The 26,578-nt window shown below is 41.8% G+C and overlaps 1 protein-coding gene across 12 annotated transcripts in view; it reads right to left on the bottom strand.

The window, feature by feature from the left end:
- NSD1 (nuclear receptor binding SET domain protein 1) overlaps positions 1-26,578 on the bottom strand; it is a 168,416-nt gene that overhangs the window by 75,927 nt on the left and 65,911 nt on the right. For 11 of the 12 annotated variants that reach the window (NM_001409301.1, NM_001409304.1, NM_001409306.1 and 8 more), the window contains 2 exons: positions 19,995-20,167; positions 12,092-14,651 (listed from right to left, as the gene is read on the bottom strand). In NM_001409301.1, coding sequence (NP_001396230.1) covers positions 12,092-14,651; positions 19,995-20,167 — 2,733 coding nt within the window. Of the gene's footprint in view, positions 1-12,091; positions 14,652-19,994; positions 20,168-22,585; positions 22,706-26,578 lie in introns of all 12 variants that reach the window. The other variant, NM_001409305.1, reaches the window with a different exon arrangement.

Raw genomic sequence — 26,578 nt, 5'->3', positions numbered from 1 at the left:
TGGAAGACTTAATATTGCTAAGATGGCAACACTATGCAAACTACCCCACAGATTCAGCACAATCCCTATCAAAATCATAACTGGCTTTTTTGCAGAAACTTACAACCTTGTTCTAACATTAATATGAAACACCAAAGATGCAAAAGAGCCAAAATGATCTTGAAAAAGGGTAAAGTTAAAAAACTTATACTTTCCAATTTCAGAAACACAGTAAAATTAATTACTACAAAAATACTGTAATTAATTACTACAAAAATACTGTAACTAACACTTACAATTTTTATTTATTTTTTGTTGAGACAAGAGTCTTGCTCTGCCACCCAGGCAGGCTGGAGTGCAGTGGCATGATCTCAGCTCATTGTAACCTCCACCTCCCAGGTTCAGGCGATTCTCCTGCCTCAGCCTCTTGAGTAGCTGGGATTACAGGCATGTGTCACTACACCTGACTACTTTTTGTATTTTTAGTAGAGATGAGGTTTGACCCTCATGTTGGACACGATGGTCTAGAACTCCTGATCTCAGGTGATCCACCCACCTTGGCCTCCCAAAATTCTGGAATTACAGGTGTGAGCCACCACCTCATTGAGAGCACAGAACCAACCTCTTACGTAGTTATGACCAACTGACTATCAATAAGGATGCAAAGACCATTAAATAGGTAAAGAATATTCTTTTCAGGCTGGGCGTGGTGGCTGTCTCTTGTTTTGTTTTTTGGAGACAGAATCTTGCTCTGTCGCCCAGGGTAGAGTGCTATGGCACAATATCAGCTCACTGCAACTTCCGCTTCCTGGGTTCAAGTGATTCTCCTGCCTCAGCCTCCCAAGTAGCTGGGATTACAGGCATCTGCTACCACATCCGGCTAATTTTTGTATTTTTAGTAGAGATGGGGTTTCACCACGTTGGCCAGGCTGGTCTCGAACTTCTGACCTCAAGTGATCTGCCCGCATCAGCCTCCCAAAAGTGCTGGGATTAAAGCTGTGAGCCACCGTGCCCGGCCTAGCCACCGTGCCTAGACTGGCTCTCTTAAAAAAATTAAAATTAGCCAGACGTGCTGGCGCATGCCTGTAATCCCAGCTACTTGGGAGGCTGAGACATGAGAACTCCTTGAACCCAGGAGGCAGACGTTGCAGTGAGCCAAGATCCGGCTCTGGGTTGCATTGCAGCCTGGGTGACAGAGCGAGACTCTGTCTGAAAAAAAAAAAAAAGAAAAAGAAAAAGAATATTCTTTTCAACAAGTGGACACCCACATGCAGCAAAATAAAATTGGACCCCTCACTCACACCATATACAAAAAATAATTCAAAATGCATCAAAGGTTTTAGAAGAAAACATAGGGTAAATCCTCATAACCAAGAATTACACAATGGTTCTAACATACACCAACAATAGCAAACAAACAGAATGTATCAGGATTTAAATTCTTGTAATTCAAGGTATATGATCAAACTAATAAAAAGACAACCCAAATAAGAGGAGAAAATATGTGTGTATCAAATAAACCCAAAGAATAGGAGAAAATACTTGCATCATATATAATAATGGACTTATATGTAAAATATATAAAGACCTCTTATTACTTAATAACCAAAAGGCAAAAAAGCCCCAATTAAAATATAGTCAAAGACTCTAGATATGTAATTGTCCAAATAAAATACATAAATGACCCAAAAGTATATGAAAATATATTGAACATCATTAGCCAGCAGAGGAATGCAAATGAAAATCATAATGAGATACCACTGCTCCACACCCAAAAGGACGGCTATAACCAAATAAAGTGTCAGCAAGCATATGGAGGAAGTGGAACCCTCATACATTGCTAGGAGGGATATATTATGGTAAAGCAGCCTTGCAAAACATCCTGGCAGTTACTCAAAGGGTTGAATATAGAATAACCAAATGACCCAGGAATTCTACTCCTAGGGATATAACCAAAAGAAATAAAAACTGGTCAACATGGTGAAACTCTGCCTCTACTAAGAACACAAAAATTAGCTGGGCGTGGTGGTGCGCGCCTGTAGTCCAAGCTACTTGGGAGGCTGAGACATGAGAATCGCTTGTACCTGGGAGGTGAAACTTGAAATGAGCCAAGATCGTGCCACTGCACTCCAGCCTGGGTGACAGAGTGAGACAACATCTCAAAAAGTAATAATAATAAAAAATAAAACAAAGTGGGGGCCGGGTGCGATGGCTCACGCCTGTAATCCCAGCATTTTGGGAGGCCAAGGTGGGCAGATCACCTGAGATCAGGAGTTCGAGACTAGCCTGGCCAAAATGGTGAAACCCTGTCTCCACAAAAATACAAAAAACTCAGCTCGGCATAGTGGCACAACCCTGTAGTCCCAGCTACTTAGGAGGCTGAGGCAGAAGAAACACTCAAACCCAGGAGGCAAAGGTTGCTGTGAGCTGAGATCACACCACTGCACTCCAGCCTGGGCGATGAGAATGAAACTCTGTCTCAAAAAAAGAAAAAACAAAAACAACAACAAAGTGGGGAAGGGGAAATATGAGTTTTACAGGGCAGGCGCAGTGGCTAATGCTTGTAATCCCAGCACTTTGGGAAGCTAACATGGACGGATCATAAGGTCAGGAGTTCGAGTCCAGCCTGGCCGACAAGGTGAAACCCCATCTCTACTAAAAATGCAAAAATTAGCCAGGCATGGTGGCGCATGCCTGTAATCTAATCCCAGCTACTTGGGAGGCTGAAGCAGGAGAATTGCTTGAACCCGGGAGTTTGCAGTGAGCTGAGATTGTACCACTGCACTCCAGCCTGGGCAACAGAGCAAGACTCCGCCTTGAAAAAAAATTGGGGGGAAAAAAAGAGTTTTATATACATTCAACTTAAGTTGTTAACAGCTTAAAATAGATTACTGTACCTGTAAGATGTTTTATTTAAGCCCCATGGTAACAACATGGAAAATGCCTATTGAAGATACATAAAATGAAATGATAAAGAAAACAAAGTATGTCAATTAAAAAAAAAAACAAAAAACAAGGAAGGCAGAAAGACAGCAAAAGGGGGACAAAACAGCTACAAACCAGACGAGAAACAATTAGCAAAATGGTAATAACAAATCTTTGTCTGTAATTACTTTAACAAAAAATGAGGCCAAATACAGGCCACAGTGGCTCACACCTGTAATCCCTGCACTGTGGGAGGCCAAAGTGGGTGGATCATTTCAGGCTAGGAGTTCAAGACCAGCCTGGCCAACATGGTGAAACCCCGTATCTATTAAAAATGAAAAACCACACAAAATTAACCGGGGGTGGTGGAAGGCACCTGTAGCCCCAGCTACTCAGGAGGCTGAGGCACAAGAATCGCTTGAACCCAGAGGTGGAGGTTGCAGTGAGCTGAGATTGCCCCACTGCACTACAGCCTGGATGACAGAGGGAGAGCCTGTCTCCATAAAAAAAGAGGCCGACCACAGTGGCTCATAACCATAATCCCAGCACTTTGAGAAGCTAAGGCAGGTGGATCACTTGAGGAAGATCACTTGAGACTGGCGTGGCCAACACTGCAAAACCCTGTCTCTACTAAAAAGACAAAAATTAGCCAAGCGTGTTGGTGCACGCTTGTAATCCCAGCTACTCAGGAAAACTGAGACACTAGAATTACTTGAACCCGGGAGGCGGAGTTTGCAGTGAGCTAAGATCATGCCACTGCACTCCAGCCTAGGCGACAGAGCAAGCCTCTGTTTCAAAAAAAAAAAAAAAAAAAAAAAAGCAATTACTATAAGAAAAAAAATGGATTAAACTCCCCAATCTAAAGATAGAGTGGTTGAGTGAATGAAAACCATTATACAATTAGGTACTATCTATAAAAGGCTCACCTAAGATTTAAGTGAGCCTTAAATCTCACTTCACAGAGGCTGAACGTGAATGGCTGCAAAAAGATATTCTATGCCAGTGGTAAACAAAAGAAAGCAGAGGTTTTGGCCATACTTATATAAAACAAAATACACTTTAGGTAAAACACTGTCACAAGAGACAAAGGAACACATGATATGATAATAAAACAGTCAATTCATCAGGAAGCTATAACACTTGCAAATACGTAATTCACCTAACATCAGACCACCCAAATATAAAAAGCAAATAATGACAGAATTGAAAGGAGAAATAGAGTAACACAAGGAGATTTTAATACTCCACGTTAAAATAATGGAGAGAACCACAATGAAGATCAATAAAGAAACAGAGGACTTGAACAATTGCATATAACAAACATATATAAAACACCAATACCAAACAGCAGCAGAATACACATTCTTGTCAAAAGCACATAGAATATTCTCCAATATGGTCACACAGAGTCTTTTTTTTTTGACACAGGATCTTACTCTGTCGCCCAGGCTGGAGTGCAGTGGCGTGATCTCAGCTCGCTGCAACATCTACCTCCTGGGTTCAAGCAGTTCTCGTGCCTCAGCCTCCTGAGTAGCTGGGACTACAGGCATGAGCAACCATGCCCAGCTAGTTTTTGTATTTTTAGTGGAGATGGGGTTTTGCCATGTTGGCCATGCTGGTCTTGAACTCCTGACCTCAGGTGATCTCGCCTTGGCCTCCCAAAGTGCTGAGATTACAGGCGTAAGCTGCCATGCCCAGCCACACAAGTCTTAACAAATTTATGAAGACTGAAATCATACCAAGTATCTGTTCCAGTCACAATCAAGTGAAACTAGAAATCAGTATCAGTACAAAAACTGAAAAATCCACCAATAGGTGGAAATTAAACAACAAACTCTTGAACAATCAATGGAAGAAAGAAGAAATCACAAGGGAAATTTGAAAATATCTTTTGACAGGGCCGGGCGCGGTGGCTCACGCCTGTAATCCCAGCACTTTGGGAGGCGGAGACAGGAGGATAACAAGGTCAGGAAATCGAGACCATCCTGGCTAACACAGTGAAACCCCGTCTCTACTAAAAATACAAAAAATTAGCCGGGCGTGGTGGCAGGCACCTGTAATCCCAGCTACTTGGGAGGCTGAGGCAGGACAATCGCTTGAACCCGGGAGGTGGAGCTTGCAGTGAGCTGAGATCGTGCCAGCTCACTCCAGCCTGGCGACAGAGCGAGACTCCCTCTCAAAAAAAAAAACACAAAACTTATGGGATGCAGCAAAAACACTACTAAGAGAGAAGTCTGTATCAGTAAATGCCAACATTGAAAAACAAAGTTTTCAACTCAACAACCTAAATTTACACCTCGAGAAGACAGAAAAATAAATCTAAGCCCAAAGTTGGTAGAAGGAAAGAAACAAAGACTAGAGCATATAGAAATGAAAAGATAAACTACAGAGCAACATCTTTTATAAATACTGATGCAAAAATCCTCAACAAAATACTAGTATATCAAATTAAATAGCACATTAAAAGAAACATACGGCTCCCGTTAGGGCCAGCTGGAGAAAAAAAAAAGGGGGGGCCGGGCGCGGTGGCTCATGCATGTAATCCCAGCACTTTGAGAGGCCGAGGAGGGCGGATCACAAGGTCAGGAGATGGAGACCATCCTGGCTAACATGGTGAAACCCTGTCTACTAAAAAATACAAAAAAAATTTAGCCGGGCGTGGTGGGGGGCGCCTGTAGTCCCAGCTACTCAGGAAGCCGAGGCAGGAGAATGGCGTCAATCCGGGAGGTGGAGCTTGCAGTGACCCGAGATTGCGCCACGGCACGCCAGCCTGGGCAACAGAGCGAGACTCCGTCTCAAAAAAAAAAAAAAGAAATATACATCATGACCAAGTGGAATTTAATCTTGGAATGCAACGATGGTTCAAAAATAGAAAAAAAAAATCAACAGAATACAGCACATTAACAGAATAAAGGACCCCAAAAAAACTACATGACCTTCACACTTGAGGTAGAAAAAACATCTGACAAAATTCAACTACCTTTCATGACTGAAAAGAAAGCACTCAACAAACTAGGAATAAAAAGAAATTACATGCCAGGTATGGTGGCTCACACCTGTAATCCCAGCACTTTTGGGGGGCCAAGGTGGGAAGACTGCTTGAGCCCAGGAGTCTGAGACCACCCTAGGCAACATAGTAAAATCTTGTTTCAACAAAAAATTACAAAATTAGTCAGGTGTCATGGTGCACACCTGCAGTCCCAGCTACTTGGGATGCTGAGGTGGGAGGATCACTTGAGCTCAGAAGTTTTAGACCCACCTAGGCAACATAGTAAAACCTGACCTGTACAAAAAGGTTAAAAATCAGCGGAGTATGGTGGTGCATGGCTGTAGTCACAGCTACTTGGGAGGTCAAGGTGGGAGTATTGCTTGAGCCTGGGTGGTTGAGGCTGCAGTGAGCCATATCACCACTGCACTCCAACCTAAGTGACAGAATGTGACCCTGTCTACACTTTGGGAGGCCGAGGTGGGCAGATCACAAGGTCAAGAGTTCGAGACTAGCCTGACCAACATGGTGAAACCCCGTCTCCACTAAAAATACAAAAAAATTAGCCGGGCGTGGTGTCAGGCGCCTGTAATCCCATCTACTCAGGAGCCTGAGGCAGGAGAATGGCTTGAACGAGGGAGGTGGAGGTTGCAGTGAGCCGAGATCGCGCCACTGCACTCCATCATGGACACCAAGAATGAAACTCTGTCTCAAAAAAAAAAAAAAAAAAGAATGTGACGCTGTCCAAAAACAAAAACACAAACAAAAAAGTAATTACATAAATATAATAAAGACTATATATAAAAAGACCACAGCTAATATGCTTGACAGTGAAACACTGAAAGCTTTTCCTCTAAGATAAAGAGCAAGGGAAATATACCACTGTAGCAACCTATTCAACACATTATTTGAAGTCCTAGCAGAGTAATTAGGCAATAAATAGGGAAGCAAGGAGCCAAATTATCTCTTTGCAGATGACATGAACCTTTATGTAGGAAACCCTAAAGATTCCACACGCTATTAGAACAAAGAAGCAAATTCGGCAAAGTTCCAAGATACAAAATTAAACCTGAACATTTCTATATACTCATAATGAACAATATAAAAGGAAATTAAAACAATCACATTTGCAATAGCATAAAAAAGAATAGAATACTTAAGAATAAACTTAACCAAGGAGGAGAAATGGTTGTACACTCCAAAACACTGTTGGATGAAATTACGGAAGATATAAATAAATGGAAAGATAGCCTGTTTTCATGGATTGGAAAACTTAATATTGTTAAGATATCCCTACTACCCAAAGGAAACTAAAGTCAATGCCATCCCTATCAACATCTCAAAAGCCATTTTTTTTTGCAGAAATAAAAAAACTATCCTAAATTAGTGTGTAATTTCAAAGAACCCCCAAATAAACAAAACAATCTTGAGAAGAAAAAAAAAAAAAACTGAAGGCCTTACATTTCTTGATTTCAAAACATATCATGAGGCTATGGTAATCAAAACAATATTGTACTGGCATAAAAATATAGACATGTAAGTCAATGGAACAGAATAGAGATCCACAGAGATCCCTGGCCAGGGTGGTGGCTCACACCTGTAATCCCCGCTTTTTGGGAGTCTGAGGCAGGAGGATCACTTGAGCCCAGGAATTCAAGAACAGCCTGGGCAACATGGTTGGACCCCGTCTCAATTTTACTAAAAATTAAAAAAAAAAAAAAAAAAACAGAGATCCCTGAAATAAATCACATACATGGTCAAATGACCTTCGACAACAGTGCCAAGACTACACAATGGGGAAAAGATAGTCTCTTTAACAGATGGTATTGTGAAAACTGGATATGCACATGCTGAAGAACGAAGATGAACTCTCATTTTACACCTTACATAAAAATTATCATAAAATAGATCAAAGACCTAAACATAAGACCTCCAACTATGAAACTCCTAGAAGAAAACAGACGAAAAAACTTCATGATATTGGAAGGAACAAGAATTTCCTGGCTATGAGACCCAAAGCACAAGTAAAAATTTTTTAAAAAGCAAAAATGGAAAAAAAAAATCACATTAACTTCTACACAGCAAAGAAAACAGTCAACAGAGTGAAAAGGCAGGTACAAAATGGGAGAAAATACTTGCAAATCATACATCAGATAATTGGTTAATATCCAGGATATATGAATAACTCTTATACCTCATTTTTTAAAAATAACAAGATTTAAAAATATGCAAAGGGATATGCACAGTAGCTCATGTCTGGAATCCCAGCATTTTGGGAGGCCAAAGTGGGAACATCATTTGAGCCCAGTAGTTGAAGACCAGCCTGGGCAGCATAGCCAGAAACCTGTCTCTACAAAAAAACACAAAAATTAGCCAAGTGTGGTGGCATGCACCTGTACTCCCAGCTACTCAGGATGCTGAGATAGGAGGATCACTTGAGCCCAGGAGTTTGAGGCTGCAGTGAGCTATAACTGCACCACTGTATTCCACCCTAGGTGACAAAGAGGCCCAGTATCATTAAAAACATATGTATATGGACAAAGGACTTATAAAATGATGCAGCAATTATGCAAAACACTATAGAGGTTCATCAAATTAAAAGTAGGCCGGGTGCGGTGGCTCACACCTATAATCCCAACACTTTGGGAGGCCGAAGCAGGAGGATCACTTAAGGTCAGGAATTTGAGACCAGCCTGGCTAACATGGCAAAACCACTGTAATCCCAGCTACTTGGGAGGCTGGGGCACAAGAATTGCTTGAGCCCAGGAGGCAGAGGTTGCAGTGACTTGAGATCGCATCATTATACTCCAGCCTGGGTGACAGAGGGAGACCCTTGTCTCAAAAAAAAATAAAAATAAAAGTAGAATTACCCTATGTTCCACCAATGCCATTCTAGGTATTTATCCAAAAGAAATGAACATCACTGGGTGCAGTTGCTCATGCCTGTAATCCCAGCACTTTGGGAGGCCGAAGCAGGCAGACCACCTGAGGTCAGGAGTTCGACACCAGCCTGGCCAACATGGTGAAACCCCATCTCTACTAAAAATACAAAGTTAGCTAGGCGTGGTGGTATATGCCTGTAATCCCAGCTACTTGAAAGGCTGAGGCAGAATTGCTTGAGCCCAGGAGGCAGAGGTTACAGTGAACTGAGATTGTGCCATTGCACTCCGGCCTGGGCAACAAGAGCGAAACTCCATCTCAAAAAAAAAAAAAAAATTGAAAACCAGATCTCAGAGATATCTGCATATCCATGTTCACTGTAGCATTACTCACAATAGTCAAGATGTGGAAGCAATCTAAATGTCCATCAACCAATGAACTGATAAAGAAAAGATGCTTTAGTATGGAAAAGAAAAAGTATGTTGGAATATTATTCAGCCATAAAAAAAGGTTATCGGCAGGGCGTGGTGGCTCATGCTTTTAATCCCAGCACTTTGGGAGGCCAAGGCGGGTGGATCACGAGGTCAGGAGATCGAGACCATTCTGGGGAACATGGTGACACCCTGTCTCTACTAAAAATACAAAACAAATTAGCCAGGCATGGTGGCATGTGCCTGTAGTCCAAGCTACTTAGGAGGCTGAGGCAGGAGAATTGCTTGAACCCACGAGGCAGAGGCTGCAGTGAGCCGAGAACCCACGAGGCAGAGGATGCAGTGAGCTGAGATCACGCCACTGCACTCCAGCCTGGGTGACACAGTAAGACTCTGTCTCAAAAAAAAAAAAAAAAAGGTGATCCTGTCATATGCTACAACATGGATGAACCTTGAAAACATTATGCTAAGTGAAATGTGAAATAACCCAATCACAAAACAACAAATACTGCATGATTCCACTTACATGAGATGTCTAAAGTAATCAAATTCACAGAAGCAGAAAGAATGTTAGTTGTCATGGATTGAACAAAGGAGAAAATCAGGAGTTGTTGTTCAATGGGTATAGAGTCTCAGTCAAGCAAAACGAAAATGTCCTGGAGATCTGCTGTTGTACATGTACATGATTCATGACACTATAATACACACTTAAATACTGTTTTTTTGTTTGTTTATTTTGAAATGGGGTTTCGCTCTGTCTCCCAGGCTGGAGTGCAGTGGCGCAATCTCAGCTCACTGCAACCTCCACTCACTGCAACCTCCACCTCCCGGGTTCAAGTGATTCTCCTACCTCAGCCTCCCGAGTGGCTGGTATTACAGGAGCGCGCCACCATGCCCAGCTAATTTTTGTATTTTTAGTAGAGATGGGGTTTTGCCATGTTGGCCAGGCTGGTCTTGAACTCCTGACCTCAGGTGATCCATCAGCCTTGGCCTCCCAGAGTGCTGGAATTACAGGCGTGAGCCACCGCACCTGGCCGTAAATACCGTTAAAGAGTAAATCTCACTCTAGCCTGGGCAACAGAGCCAGACCCTATCTCAAAAAAAAAACCAAAAAAGGTACATTTAGGTTACATGCTTTTTAACCATAATTTTAGAAGAAGACAGAAGAACTGATACATACTACAAGAGGCATGAACCAGAAAACATTAAACTAAGTAAGGGAAACCAGACCCAAAAGGACCATATATTGTATGATTCCATTTCTATGAAATGTACACAATAGACAAATCTACAGATTGGTAAAAACTGAAGGCAGGGCTGGGCACAGTGGCTCACGCCTGTAATCCCAGCACTTTGGGAGGTGGAGGCGGGCGGATCACAAGGTCAGGAGATCAGAGACCATCCTGGCTAACACAGTGAAACCCCGTCTCTACTAAAAATACAAAAAAAAATTAGCTGGGTGTGGTGGCGGGCGCCTGTAGTCCCAGCTACTCAGGAGGCTGAGGCAGGAGAATGGCGTGAACCCGGGAGGCGGAGCCTGCAGTGAGCCGAGATCACGCCACGGCACTCCAGCCTGGGTAACAGAGCGAGACTCCGTCTCAAGAAAAAAAAAGAAAAAAAAACCTGAAGGCAGATTGACAAGAGTTCTGTGTTTCTGTCTGGGATGATGCAAATATTCCACAATTGATCGCACTGATTGTTGCACAACTCTGTGACTATACTACAAACCACTCAATTAAAAACGTTAAAAGCTGAATTTTATGATATGATAACTGCATTTTCAATAAAGCTGTTAGAGAAAAATCTACTATGATACACAGTTTTGAGAATCTTATGTTAATGGATATTGCTGTAAAAAAGAAAAAAATATGTATATACATGTATACACACACTGCTTTATCCTCAACTGTATACTGTGTAATGTTAGTATCTTGAAAGATTTCTGTTTTCCATCTGCTGCTAGGTACAACACTTGGGTACTTCTGGTATTTTTATTTGTTCATAATCCTCATTCCAGTAGGAATTTAAGACACCTAAGACCTTCAAATAAGTACTACAGAATACTTGCAGTTTTTTCAAAAGCGCATGTGGTTCATCAAATTGTCCACAAAACAGAAGGACCTATCTTAAGTAATGGTCAAAGAAAACCTAACATCCAGCCAGATGCAGTGGCTCACGCCTGTATCCCAGCACTTTTGGTGGGCGGATCACTTGAGTTCAGTTCAAGACCAGCCTGGCCAACGTGGTGAACCCTCATCTCTACTAAAAATACAAAAATTACCAGGTATGGTGGCGGGTGCCTTAAGAAAAAAAAAAGAAACTACCATCCAATAGAATCTATTTGCTTTCTATAACCTAACAACTGGATTTAAATCCTAGGATCGGAGCCTCTCAATTACTTGCAGTTACATATTGAGTCCCAAAAAGCTTGGGGATTTTAAAAGGTAAGAAACGGGGAACAGGTCAGGCAAGAGTAATCCCAGCACTTTAGGAGGCAAAGGCTGGCAGATGGCGTGAACTCAGGAGTTTGAGACCAGCCTGGGCAACACAGTGAGACCCTGTCTCAAAAGAAAAAAAAAATTAGAAAAAAAAAAAAAAGAGAGAGAGAGAAAGAGAGAGAGAGAAAGTGAGAAAGAAAGATGTTATAGAGATTTACTTGAAAAGGTTGGGGAAAAGGGCTTCTGGTAAAGTTTAACTTTTGAATATATATGGAAATCTCATCTTCAAAATTCAGACCTTTCTACATAAAACTCCTTCTTCATTGAAGTGATGATTCTTCCCCGCTAGTTTATACTTCACTTTACCATTACAACAGACCAATTTCAGAAGGACAATGTTTATCAGCACTTTCTCCAATTTTTTTTTTTTTATCACATTTAGATGTCCTTACCTGGTTCAGGGAGCTCAGCCTGTGGTGTCAAACTGGGAATTCCTGGCTCCTTTTCCATGTCACCAATGCTGGCACTGGATTTATCACAAACATTTAACCGTGGCCCAGCTGAATCTAAGCAGTCAGCATGATTTTGCTCTGTCAGTGGTTCCTCAAGTATGCTTGCTGAAGGAGTTCTATGCTCTGGAAACTCATCCCGCCCCTCCTGCACAGGGTCACTAGGAAGTAAGACCCTAAAGGCACACTCAGAGTTTTCTTTCTCTTTAAATCTGTTCATGCGCTTACGAGGTTTAGTGCGCCTTTGGTTTAAACGCTGCCACCGCTTTTTAGGCACCACTTGATTTACACCATTGAGTTCATCATTCTCACTGTTCATTACAGAGTCCAGCTCTGGGCCTTTTCCGTTTTCAAAAGAGAGTCCTTTTTCAGAAATTTTACCAGGATCAGATTGCTTAACCTTGCTATCGAAATGCACATCAGAAAAATGGTCACCATCTTCACTTGTTAAGTGGCCCATTATCTGAAGGGGATCCTCTTTACTAGGATCTTCTGCCCCACCTCTCAATGAACCTCCACGTTCTCGGTCTCCCTGCAGTACAGCATCAAGAGTCACACTTGGAAGCTGATTCAGTTTTCTTTTGCGCTCGGTCTTTAAGGCTTTACGGTTCACTGTGTTCTTTACCATTTGGGCTGAAAAAGCATCTCGCAATTTGGATGAAGGCTTTGATCGTCCACAGTTGCGCCTAGTAACACAGTCTGAACGACTTTTACCAGAAGCAGGGAGGTCTCTCTTGTCGGACAGTAAGCCAGGTAGGGAAGCAGACAACTCGCCAGATAATGCAGAGTCACCCCCACTAGGGCTAGGATTGGCGGAGTTCTGAGTGCCATCTCCCTTTTTCTCTGAATTGTGTGTGGAGCCTCCTGAAACCAAAACCTTAGAGACTCCTACAGGACTATTAGTAGAACAGTCCCCACGACCAGGACTCCGGTAAGAGACCAGGTTTTGAGCAGTCATCAACCGCTGCTCCTTCGTCTTACTATCATGCATATCTTTCAACATCATTAGCAATGTACTGAATTTGTAGTCTGGTTCAATAGGTATGTGATTCTGACTAGAAGCAGAAGAGAAAAGTAATGGTTTTGATGGCTTTGATGTTCCAGAGTCACTGACATCCTCACCTAAGGATCTGTAAGAGAGTTCCTTCAACTCGGATAAAACATGTTTCACCACTGCTGTTTCTATGTCACTTGAATCCCTGGTTTTCTCATGCATATTGTTCAGTAGTTTTAGACCATCCACTTTCCCACTTTTAGAAATGCTGGCCAAAGGAGAGCCTTTGGTATCAGAAGAGCAGCATTTCAAACTGCACTCCTCATTTATAACTGGGGGTTCTGCCATAACTGGATTTTCTTTGTGTTTGCACTTTATACTTCGGAACTTGGGCTGTTTGCTTTTCGAATGTAATAGAGCTTGATTTGCTGCCCCACCCTTTATTAACGAGTTCTCACTGGATATGCTTGATGACAGGTTGAATTTTGGAGAGAGAGCATCATTTGTAAAATCTGACTGGGGTTTGTGAACAAGAGTAGATGCCTTCAGATCAGAGAGATTAACCTGAGACGTCTCGGTTCCAGGCTCTGCACTCTTAGTACAACCCATTAAGTGGTCTGTATGTGAGTTACTAATGAGAGGCTTCTGTTTTGCTTTTACCCTAGTGTTTGTGGCAGCAAACCTAGAATACTTTATCTTTTCATTTTTCTGCATAGATAACATGTTCTCTGTTCTATCGAAAGCATCTGGAATTTCAAGGACACTGTTATCAGACTCTGAGCTGTGTTCTATGGGATCCAGGTCACTGCTTCCATCATCAGAAGTGGTACAGATACTAATGGAATCACTTCGCTTTTCCTCATCACCTGCTCCAATATAGCAGAGCTTCACTTTTGAACCACACACCAGGCTTCGTTGGGGTTTATTCTTCTCTCGAGAACACTTTGAGATCAAAGCACCCTCAGGCAAGCCCAATAAAGAGTCACCATTTGAAGTCTCAAATTCTTTCTTTGCAGTGTTTTTTCCACAGGAAGAAAACAGAAAACTTCCTGGGGCAGTGTTGGACCCTGTGAGGCTATTTGCTATCCTGGAAAGTTCATTAGAGGCCTGCGTATCAGATATATCCCCAGAGATAAAGTTTAGGCCAAGGTTCTCTGGAATCTTTCCCCTCCGTTCATCTTTATGTGCTTCAAATTGTATGTGGCCCTTTTTCACACTAGTCCTTTTTGGATTATCAGAGCTCTTTCTGGCTCGAGATTTAGCGCAAGGCTTTTCCTTCTCATCTGCAGAATGTTCAGAATCAAAAGCCAGTGATTTCAAACAGCCATTAAGCAACAGGTCATGTTCTGACTCAGGATCATTTGTGCAGTCTTCAAATGGCATATCTTCTTCACTGTCCAACTTGATTGAACCAGGAATACATTTTCGGTTCTTTGACCCCTTGGGAACATCATACTGTTCTGCAAGTCCAACACTGGCTTCCCATTTACTCAAAATTTTCTGAGGAACCTTAAATTTAAAGGAGAAAAAGAATTATCACTTATCAAAGAAATGGGTGGGGGAAAAGGGAGATGAAATCAGAAGCTTTTTTTTTTATTCCTTTTTTTTTTTTTTTTGAGACAGAGTCTTGCTCTGTCGCCCAGGCTGGAGTGCAGTGGCACAATCTTCGCTCACCACAACCTCTGCCTCCCGGGTTCAAGTGATTCTCCTTCCTCAGCCTCCCGAGTAGCTGGGATTACAGGCACCCGCCACCACACCCAGCTAATTTTTTGTATTTTCAGTAGAATAGGGGTTTCACCATATTGGCCAGGCTGGTCTCAAACTCCTGACCTGAAGTGATCCGCTCACCTCAGCCTCCCAAAGTGCTGGGATTACAGCTATGAGCCACCGCACCCGGCCTGAAATCAGAAGCTTTTACAAACCTGTCAGGCCTCCTGCTTTTATGGAACCAGCCAGGTAGTTAGCACCTGAGCTCAAGCAGCATCTGAATCACCCTAATGGAGCTTCCTCAAAAATACTTCTGCTAATAAGATTATGTCATTAGAGTAAGGACTGATCTCACAAACACTCCACCCTCCCTGCATTTATAAGCACAAAGCAGAATATAGACTAAAACTGGTAACATTACATTTCTAAATTAAAGAATACTTGGCCGGGTGTGTGGCTCACGCCTGTAATCCCAGCACTTTCAGAGGCTGAGGAGGACGAATCACCTCAGGTCAGGAGTTCAAGACAACCCTGGCCAACATCGCCAAACCCCATCTCTACTAAAAATAAAAAAATTAGCCAGGTGTGGTGGCAGACACCTATACTCCCAGCTACTGTGGAGGCTGAGGCAGGAGAATCACTAGCACCCGGGAGTTGGAGATCACGCCATTGCACTCCAGCATGGGGGACAGAGCAAGACTCCATCTCAAAAAATTAATTAATTAATTAATTAATTAAGGAATATGAAGGCCAAACACATGTTCAGTTGCATAAAAAAGAAAGTAGGGAGGCTAAGACACGAGAATCATTTGTACCCAGTAAGTGGAGGCTCCAGTGAGCTGAGATCACGCCACTGTACTCCAGCCTGGGTGACAGAGCAAGACTCTTTCTCAAAAAGAAAAAAGAAAAGAAAAAAAGAAAAAGAAAAACCAAGAAAAAAAAAAGAAAAAGAAAAAAAGGTTAAAGATGATGAATATAGAAAAAACAGGATAAGAGGAATCAGCAGGTTTGATCTACCTCCCTAGGGAACTTGAAATTTGAAATTCTAGTTATCACTAGCCACCTGGCTAATCAAGAATCGACTATAAATGTTAAATATAACCTGGATTATAACCAAGCCATCTCCTAGGCTTCATCATGTAATCCAGAGCTATTATACTGATGACACCATGGGTATTACATTATCTTTTCTGGATACCTCACAGCATGAAAACATTGAGACTCTGAAATACAGCTAATTTTTCAGACTCTTATTTTCTTCCTTACCTCCATACAATAGGTATTAGTCAAGATTCTAACTACCACATAGTGTTCACAAATAGTTTAATATTTGTGAAGGGGATGTTCTGCAGAGCAAGTAAACATTCAGATCATTGCTGGGGATGGTGGCTCATGGCTGTACTCCCAGGACTTTGAGAGGCTGAGGCAGGTGGATTACATGAGCTCTGGAGTTCAAGACCAACCTGGGTAACACAACCAGACCCTGTCTCTACTAAAAACACACACACACACACGCACACACACACACACACTAGCTGGACATGCTGCATGCATATGGTCCCAGCTACTCAGTAGGCTGAGGTAGGAGGATCATTTGTGCCCAGGAGGTGAAAGTTGCAGTGTGCCGAAACCGTGCCACTGCACTCCAGCCTGGATGACAGAGCACGATCCTGTCTCAAATTTTAAAAAATAAAATAAATGAATAAAAGGCTGCGTGGAGTGGCTCACACCTTTAATCCCAGCACTTTGCGAGGCTGAGGCAGGAGGATGCCTTTAGCCCAGCCTGGGAAACACAGGGAGACCCACCCCTTCTCTAAAAAAAAAAAAAAAAAAAAAAAAAAAAATTTAAATAAATAGGCCAGGCACGGTGGCTCACGCCTGCAATCCCAGTGCTTTGGGAGGCTGAGGTGGGCAGATCACAAGGTCAGGAGATCGAGACCATCCTGGCTAACATGGTGAAACCCCGTCTATACTAAAAATATAAAAAATTAGCCAGGCCTGGTGGCGGACACCTGTAGTCCCAGCTACTCGGGAGGCTGAGGCAGGAGAATGGCGTGAACCCGGGAGGCGGAGGTTGTAGTGAGCTGACATCGCACCACTGCACTCCAGCCTGCACAACAGAGCGAGACTCTGTCTCAAAATAAATAAATAAAAATAAATAAATTAAAAAATAAATAATTACGGTAACGAGGCCGGGCACAGTGGCTCACGCCTGTAATCCTAGCATTTTGAGAGGCCAAGGTCGGGGGGATGGCGGGGGGTCACCTTAGGTTAGGAGGTCGAGACCAGCCTGGCCAACATAGTGAAACCCTGTCTCTACTAAAAATACAAAAATTAGCAGGGCGTGGTGGCGCAAGCCTGTAATCTCAGCTACTTGGGAGGCTGAAGCAGGAGAATTGCTTGAACCCAGGAGGCAGAGGTTGCGGTGAGCCGAGATCATGCCACTGCATTCCAGCTGGGGCGACAGAGTGAGACTCCATCTCAAAAAGAAAAAAAAAAAATTAGGGTAACTAGAGGAGTAGCCTCCTCTTAAAGAAAGGATCAAACGGACAATCTGGTAGTGTGTATTTTTTTTTTTTTAAGCACAGAAACACATATCCACTAATGCTCATGACTGTGACCAGAGTAAATCAATTTTCCAGAATCTGAAAGCCCCAATAAACACCTCTAAAAAGATTGGTAACTCTACGTACCTAAAGACTTAACAAAATAACCGACACATCCCTATCAGCAACCAGCTGAAATATCTGAAAGGAAGCCGTTAACCTCTTTCATCCTAACAACACATACTAATTGTTTCTAAAGCATCAATTGTATGTCATATTAAGTATTTTATACTTATTTCTAATGTTTACAACAGTTCTATAGGGTGTAAGTTATTGTACTAGCTTTAGAGATGAAGACACCAAGTCTTTGAGAACTCAAGTGTTAAGTGGCAGACCCTGCATATGAACTCTAAATTATCCTAATTATGATTTTTAAAAATAGTCTACAAGTATTGCCAGCATGGTATCTCATGCCTGTAATCCCATCACTTTGGGAAACCGACATGAGAAGATTAAGTCCAGGAGTTCAAGACCAGCCTGGGCAACATGGCAAGACCTTGTCGTTCTACAAAAAAATAAAAATAAAAATTGGGGCTGGGCACAGTGGCTCATGCCTGTAATCCCAGCACTTTGGGAAACCAAGGCAGATGGATCACTTGAGGACAGGAGTTTGAGACCAGCCTGGCCAACATGGTGAAACCCTGTCTCTACTAAAAATACAAAAATTAGCCAGGTGTGGTGGCATACACTTGTAATCCCAACTATTTGGGAGGCTAAGGCATGAGAATCGCCTGAACCCAGGAGGCAGAGGTTGCAGTGAGCCAAGATTGTACCATTGTACTCCGGCCTGGGTGACAGAGCAAGACTCTGTTTAAAAAAATAATAATAATAATAAATAAAAATTAGCCACTGTAGTCATACATATCTGTAGTCCCAGCTACTCGGGAGACTGAGTCAGGAGAATGGCTCGAGCCTGGGAGGTCATAGCTGCAGTAAAAGATGACTGTGCAACAGCACTCTAGCATGAACAACATAGAGAGACCCCCGTATCAAAGAATAATAATAATAAATAAAAGTATTTAGACCCAGGGGAGTATAAAACACCAAACTAAGAATTATTATTTCTCCTTCTAGAATTGAATATAAGAGAATATTAAATCATAGAGACAAACAGTAGAATGGTGGTGACAGTGATGGGAGAAGGACAAATGGGGAATTACTGTTTAACAGGTAAAAGAGTATCAGATTTGCAAGATGAAAATAATTATGAGATGTTTGCACACCATTATAAATGTATTTAAAACCATTAACTGTACACTTAAAAGTGTTTAAGATAGTAATTTTTATATTATATATATTTTAACACAATAAAAAAAACTGGAGGAAAAAAGAGTATTAAAATAAGCTGGTATTTTTCTCAGCCAAATTTAACATAAAACATCAAGCAAAAGAAAAAAAGCCACAATACTGATGGTTGAAATATAACTAGAGTAGAAACTTTAGACTTAAGCACTGACAAACATAAAAAAGAAAATTATTAAAAACTTTATGGTTCTCAGTGGGCGCAGTGGCTCACGCCTGTAATCCCAGCACTTTGGGAGGCTGAGGCGAGTTGATCACCTGACATCAGGAGTTCAAGACCAGCCTGGCCAATATGGCAAAACCTGTCTCTACTAAAAATACAAAAATTAGCCAGGTGTGGTGGCGGGCACCTATAATCCCAGCTACTTGGGAGGCTAAGGCACAAGAATGGCTCAAACCTGGGAGGCGGAAGTTGCAGTGAGCCAAGAGTGTGCCACTGCACTTCAGCCTGGGTGACAGAGTGAGACTCTGTCTCCAAAAACAAAGAAACAAACAAACAAAAAAACCACATTATTCTCATTAACAGAAATAATTAGTCCAAGTGGCAAGAAGCAGAATATTTCATTTTAATGATACTTTCATCATGCATAAAAGATAACAAAAGAATGGTCACGCTATGTCATAATTTTCACTACTGAGTGACACAGTAAAGTTGACTAAAATAATTTATCAAAAAATTTAGTATAAATATGTCACAAGCTAGCCCCAGCCCACTGGGGAGGAAAAACAAACAAACAAACAAACAAAAAAAACCCACCTGCATCTGCTCCCTAGCTCTTTTCTCACAGATATTCTACTACCAAAGGAAATAACTTACATTTCAAAAATATAATGCTTCTTCCCTGCCTCCTCTCTGCTAACTCCCAAGTAGATAATGATTTTTAAAAGGCCGGGCCAGGCACAGTGGCTCACACCTGTAATCCCAGCATTTTGGGAAGCTGCTTGAGCTCAGGAGTTCAAGACCAACCTGGCCAACATGGCGAAATCCTGTCTCTACTAAATACAAAAGTTAGCCAGGCGTGGTGGTGCTCGCTTATAATACCAGCTACTCAAGAGGCTGAAGCACGAGAATCACTTGAACCTGGGACGCGGAGGTTGCAGTGAACAAAGATTGCACCACTGTACTCCAATCTGGGAAACAGAGCAAAGTTCTGTCTCGAAAATAAATAAGAGGCCATTTTCTTTCTTTTTCTTACTTGCTTCTGTCACTCAATAAAAAGCCTTTTTCGTTTCCTACCTTATGCCTATATCCTTTTTCTTTCTGTTTCCCTCTTCTCCTAAGGACAGGTAGCTCTTCGAATTGATGTCTGCCTTCAAACATGACGATTGCTTTTCCAGCCACCCAGGCTCTCTCAGAAGGATCTCCAAAAGCCTCCACGTAGTACTGCCGATAGGGCCTCCGGTTGGAAACTAGGTAAGGGTAAGAGAACCAGAATCATTAGATCAAAGAAATTACTTCTCATCATTAAGAGAACAGCCACATCATTGCCGCCAAAGAAGACTGTCTGGAAACAACTAACATGCCCACTGAACTAGACAACCTAGAATAGATCATACACAAGGAAAATTTTAAGTATTATATATGTGTGGCAAGAAAATACACAGGAGGTTATGAAAGAATCAGTAGTCTAGTCTGATGACGTGGTATAGCTTCAAAACCAGCTAAATGTAGATTAACTACAAAGAAGAAATTAAGATAGTAGACAGGTAAGTTTCCTTCACTATCAGTCTATAATTTCATTGTTCCAAAAATACAGAAGATGTATATAGTAAGCCCACAGCAACAAAAATATATATACAAAAAAAAACCCAAGAAAACGTGAAAAACACTAGGCTAATATAAAGAAGAAGAAATGTTTCAGCAAAGCAACATGTATGATCTGTTAACATTTATAGTGTAGCTACTCATAGACGAGCACCACACAAGGTGCTTTGCATGGATTCCTCCCCACAACCACACCCCCAAAATAATGTATGGTTTTGGTATTTTAGATATAGTAAGTTCAATAACTTCAGAGAGAACAAGCGCATGGTCAAACACTGGTTTTGCAAAGAAAGTGAAATGCAATATTTCAAATTAGGGAAATTTTAAAAGAAAAAGGAAAGCCTACCAGTAATAAAACCAAAAATAAATCCAGTTTAGCCTATAATTTCTTGGTTATCTAAAGTTCTATACATACAATTAAAAATATGAAAATACAAATCCCATCTAGAAAAGATTATAATTCATCTAGTATATGTTATCTTCCACACATTTACAATTTTATTAGCAACTTTTATTACACTAAAAAGTGTCACAAAAGAAAGTCAGGACAACACATGTTTAACAATTTGTCACTTTTAATAAAAGGAAATAAAAATCATTTTATACGAAAATTCATTTTAACTCACATCTAGTTCCCTTGTAACAACCATGTCTTATTTCAAAACACAGAAAAGAATCCAAATAACCTTTGGAAGAATTATGGAATGCCTACTTCCCTCAGAATGCAAAATGAAAAATGAAAAAAGAAAGACAAAGGAGAGAAGGGATTTATAAACTGAACTGTCAACGGTAACTTCTCTGTAAATGCTGGTTTCAAAAGTGTACACATGGTAGTTTTTCTATTAAAAAACATAGCTTAATAATGAAACTAAAACTTAGTTAAATTTTGTGTTGTCTGGTTCATTTTAAAAACAAACTGAAAAAAAAAATGAACTCCTTATTTCCCACCTACTGAATTAAATCCTTCAATAAAAATCACCTACAGGAACTGGAACTGGTTAATATACACATGTGTGTACCTATACAGAGGTTCTTAAAGTCAATTTGAGAATTAAATCACTCTCCCATGAGTCAATACATTGAACTGGCCAGGTGTAGGGGCTCACACCTGTAATCCCAATACTTTGGGAGGCAGAAGTGGGAGGACTGCTTGAGCCCAGGAGTTCGAGACCAGCCTGGGAAACATAGCAAGACCCTATCTCTACTAAAAATAAAAATACTGGCTGAGGATGGTGGCATGTGCCTGTAGTCCCATCTATTTGGGAGGCTGAGAAGGGAGGATCACTTCATCCTCAAAGGTCAAGAATACAGTGAGCCATTATCACGCCACTGCACTCCACCCTGGCAGTACAGCAAGCCCCTGTCTTAGAAATAAATAAATAAATAAATTTCATTAACAGATCAAGAACTTCTGATGTGCCAGCAACGTGAGGAGAAAAAAGAACTCACTGTCTGACAGATAAGTCATATATAAATGATTACAGTACAAAAGGCATGACAACTGCAAAAATAAACACTTATTTCTTAAAAAAAACCACTCAATTATAAGTGGGAGGAGACAAATGAAGTACTTGAACAACTTTTTTTTTTTTTTCTGAGACGGAGTTTCACTCTTGTTGCTCAGTCTGGAGTGCTATGGCATGATCTTGGCTCACTGCAACCTCTGCCTCCCAGGTTCAAGCGATTCTCCCGCCTCAGCCTCCCAAGTAGCTGGAACTACAGGCATGCGCCACCACGCCCAACTAATTTTTTGTATTTTTAGTAAAGACGAGATTTCCTCATGTTGGTCAGGCTGATCTCAAACTGCCGACCTCAGGTGATCCGCCCGCCTCGGCCTCCCAAAGTGCTGGGATTACAGGCGTGAGCCACCGCGCCAGGCTGAACAACTTTTAAAGTTAAACAGTTTGGCCAGGTGGGATGGCTCATGCCTGTAATCCCAGCCCTTTGGGAGGCTGAGGCAGGCGGATCACCTGAGGTCAGGAGTTCAAGACCAACCTGGCCAACATGGTAAAGCCCTGTCTCTACTAAAAATACAAAAAGTAGCCGGGCGTGGTGCAACTTGCCTGTAATCCAAGCTACTTGAGAGGCTGAGGCATGAGAATCGCTTGAACTCAGGAGGCGGGGGTTGCAGTGAGCTGAGATCCCACCACTGCACTCTAGCCTGGACAAGAGTGAGACACCATCTCAAAAAAAAAAAAAAAAGTAAACAGTTAAAGATAGAATTATAGTATGAGGGCACAGAACCCTCAAAGGCATGAATGAATAAAACTAAACAAAACTACAAGTAGTTCTAAACACTATCATAAACTAGAAGAAAAGGGAAACTAATAAAGGTTGGGCAGCAACCAGACTTGTAAGAGTTTGCATGGCATGTTAAGATCTTAGCCATTACAGCTTTGACTTTTAGCTGACTTTTAGTCCCAGCTACTCGGGAGACTGAGGCAGAAGAATCGCTTGAACCCAGGAGGCAGAGGTTGCAGTGAGCCAAGATCCCGCTACTGCACTCCAGCCTGGGAGACAGAGCAAGACTCTGTCTCAAAAAACAAATAAAAAACAACAAAAAAGACACAGATGCTTAGGTTGGACACAGTGGCTCACACCTATAATCCCAGCACTTTGGGAGGTGGAGGCAGGCAGATCACCAGAGGTCAGGAGTTTGAGACCAGCCTGGCCAACATGGCGAAACCCAGTCTCTACTAAAAATACAAAAATTAATGCCAGGTGTGGTGGTATGCACCTGTAATCCCAACTGAGGCAAGAGAATCACTTGAACCCAGGAGACAGAAGTTGCAGTGAGCCAAGATCACGCCTCATTGCACTCCAGCCTGAGCAACAAGAGTGAAACTCCATCCAAAAAAAAAAAAATACAAAAACACCAGATACTATACAATGTTTATAGAAACACTGTTCAGAATGGCCAAAAGGAAAACAACCCAAATGTTCTCTGATGGATGAATGGAAAAACAAAATGTGGTACTTACAATACAATGACGTATTATGTAGCCTTTAAAAAAATTGAGAGAGAGAGAAAGAAATTCAGAAACATACTATAGCATTGATGAACTTAGAAGACATTATGATAAATGAAGTAAGGGGTCAATAGGACAAATGTCTGATTCTAGTTATATGTGGTATCTAAAATAGTCAAATTTATAAGGAAAAAAAACACAGAACAGTGGTTACCAAGGGCTATGGTGATGTTGGTAAATGGGTACAGAGTTTCAGTTTGGGAGATGAAAGAGTCTGGAGATGAATAGTGGTAATGGCTACACAACAATGTTAATATACTTAATGCTACTGAACTGCCTACTTGAAACAATGAAAACATTAGGCGAGGAAAGGTGACTCAGGCCTGTAGTCCCAGCACCTTGGGAGGCTGAGGCAGGACAGCACCTTGGGAGGCCGAGGCGGGAGGATCACTTAAGGTCAGGAGTTCAAGAACGGCCTGGCCAACATGGTGAAATCCTGTCTCTACTAAAAATACAAAAATGAGCCAGGCGTGCTGGCACATGCCTGTAGTCCCAGTTACTCGTATAGTCCCAGCTACTCAGGAGGCTGAGGCAGAAGAACTGCTTGAACCCAGGAGGCAGAGGTTGCAGTGAGCTGAGATCCTGCCACAGCCTGGGCAACAGAGCAGGACTCTATCTCAACAAAACAAAACAAAAAAAAAACATTAAATTTATGTTTTGTCTATTTTTTAAAAGTCAAATAACCAATGATGGGGATATGGGAAAAATCAGAACCAATGCATTCCTAGTGGAAACGTATCCCCATTGTAAGTTGAGGAGCACAACAGATTTGTGGAAAAATTATAAACAAATCACAGATGCTCCATGACATACCCATTATAAGCTGAAAATATTAAGTTGAGGCCGGGCGTGGTGGCTCGCTCCTGTAATCCCAGCACTTTGGGAGGCCGAGGTTGGCAGATCACGAGGTCAGGAGATGGAGAACATCCTGACCAACATGGTGAAACCCCGTCTCTACTAAAAATTAAATTAGCCGGGCGTGGTGGCAGGTGCCTGTAATCCCAGCTACTCAGGAGGTTGAGGCAGGAGAATTGCTTGAACCAGGATGTCAGAGGTTGCAGTGAGCTGAGATCGTGCCACTGCACTCTAGTCTGGTGACAGAGAGAGACTCCATCTCAAAAAAAAAGAAAAGAAAAGAAAAGAAAAGAAAAGAAAATATTAAGTTGAATATGAAGGCTGGCCAGACGCAGAGGCTTCACGCCTATAATCCAAACACTTTTTGAGGCCAAGGCAAGAAGACTGTTTGAGCCCAGTAGTTCAAGACAAGCATGGGCAATACAGGGAGACCCTGTCTATAAAAAAATTTAAAAATTAGCTGGGCATGGTGGCCCTTGCCTGTAGTTCCAGCTACTTGGGGGGCTGAGGCAGGAGAATCACATGAGTCCAAGAGGCAGAGGTTGCAGTGAGCTGACATCGCGTCACTACACTCCAGCCTGAGCAACAAAGCAAGACCCTGCCTCTAAAAAAAAAATAATAATTAGAAAATGCATTTAATACACCTAGCCTACGCTAAACATGCTCAGAACACTTACATTGGTCTACAGTTGTGCAATATTTCTGACACAAAGCCTATTTTAAAATTAACTGCTGAATATCTCCTGTAATTTACTGAATACTACATTGAAAGTGAAAAACAGAATGGTTCTACAGGTAACTTGAAGTACCATTTCTATTTAATGTGTATCGCTTTCGCACCATTGTAAGGTCGAAAAATTCTAACTCAAATTGGGGACCTACTACATATGAAATGTCTAGAATATGCAAATCCACAGAAACAGAAAGTACATTAGTGGTTGCTTAAGGCAAACACGTATGGGTGTGGAAAGATGGAGACAGAGGAAGCTAAAGAGTATGGGGTTCCATGTTAGGGTGATGAATATATTTTCAAATTGACATCTTGGTGAAAACTTCAAGTATGGAGTTGAGTATACAAATCTAAAGCCTGGATAAAGACTATCACTAAGGATATGAATTCAGCTTACTGACGACAATTTAAAACTCAGAGTTAGTAAGACTGTCATTCAAGAAGGATGAAAAAGGGCTATTACAGACTAAATGTTTGTGTCCTCCTGAAATGCATTATTCTGAAGCCTTGACCCCCCCATATGTTGGTGTTTACAGGTGAGGCCTTTGGAGTAAGTAGATTTACTAATTTTATACACTAAATATACTAAGAATACTAAATACTATTACTAGATTAGTAATAGGTCCCTCATGATGGAGGTGACCTCATGATGCAACTAGTCTCCTTAAAAGAAGATGCCACAGTGAGTACTTTCGCTCTCTGCCAAATGACGACACAGCAACAAGGTGGTTATCTACAAGTCAGGAAGACAGCCCTCACTTGGGATCCGAATTGGCTAGCACCTTCATCTTGAAACTTCCCTGTCTCTAGAGTCAAAAATAAATTGGCCAGGCACAGTGGCTCACACCTGTAATCTCAGCACGTTGGGAGGCCAAGGCGGGAGGATCACTTAAGGCCAGGAGTTCAAGACCAGTTCATGCAACATAGGGAGATCTTGTCTCTACAAAAAATATAAAAATTAGCCAAGTGTTGTGGTGCACACCTGTAGTCCCAGCTACTGAGGAGGCTGAGGTGGAAGGAGTGCTGGAGCCCTGGAGCACTGGAGCCTGGGAGATGGAAGTTGCAGTGAGCTGTAATTGTGCCACTGCACTCCAGCCTGAGTGACAGAGCAAGACTCTTTCTCAAAAATAAGACTAATATTAAAATAAAAAATAACAACAAAAAATAAAAATCCTTCTGAATCCTATATACCTATCTGCCTGCAGCATCCTCCCTTCTCTGTCTCTGTCTCCATTGCCTCAAATCAGTCCAATCTAACTTCTACCTCAATGAAACCAACAACAACAAAAAAGGTACTCGTGATCTCCACCTTCTTATCCCTAATGGACATTTTATTTGCTCTCTAGGCAACACTCAGCAAAATTGACCACATCGTCCTTAAACTACAGTGGTCCCAGCTCACGTGAGACTTCACTTTCGATGGTTTCAGTTACCTGTGATAC

The sequence above is a fragment of the Homo sapiens genome, chromosome 5, assembly GCF_000001405.40.
Source record: "Homo sapiens chromosome 5, GRCh38.p14 Primary Assembly".
Taxonomy (NCBI): Eukaryota; Metazoa; Chordata; class Mammalia; order Primates; family Hominidae; genus Homo; species Homo sapiens.
This window is presented reverse-complemented; position numbering and strand designations above follow the sequence as displayed.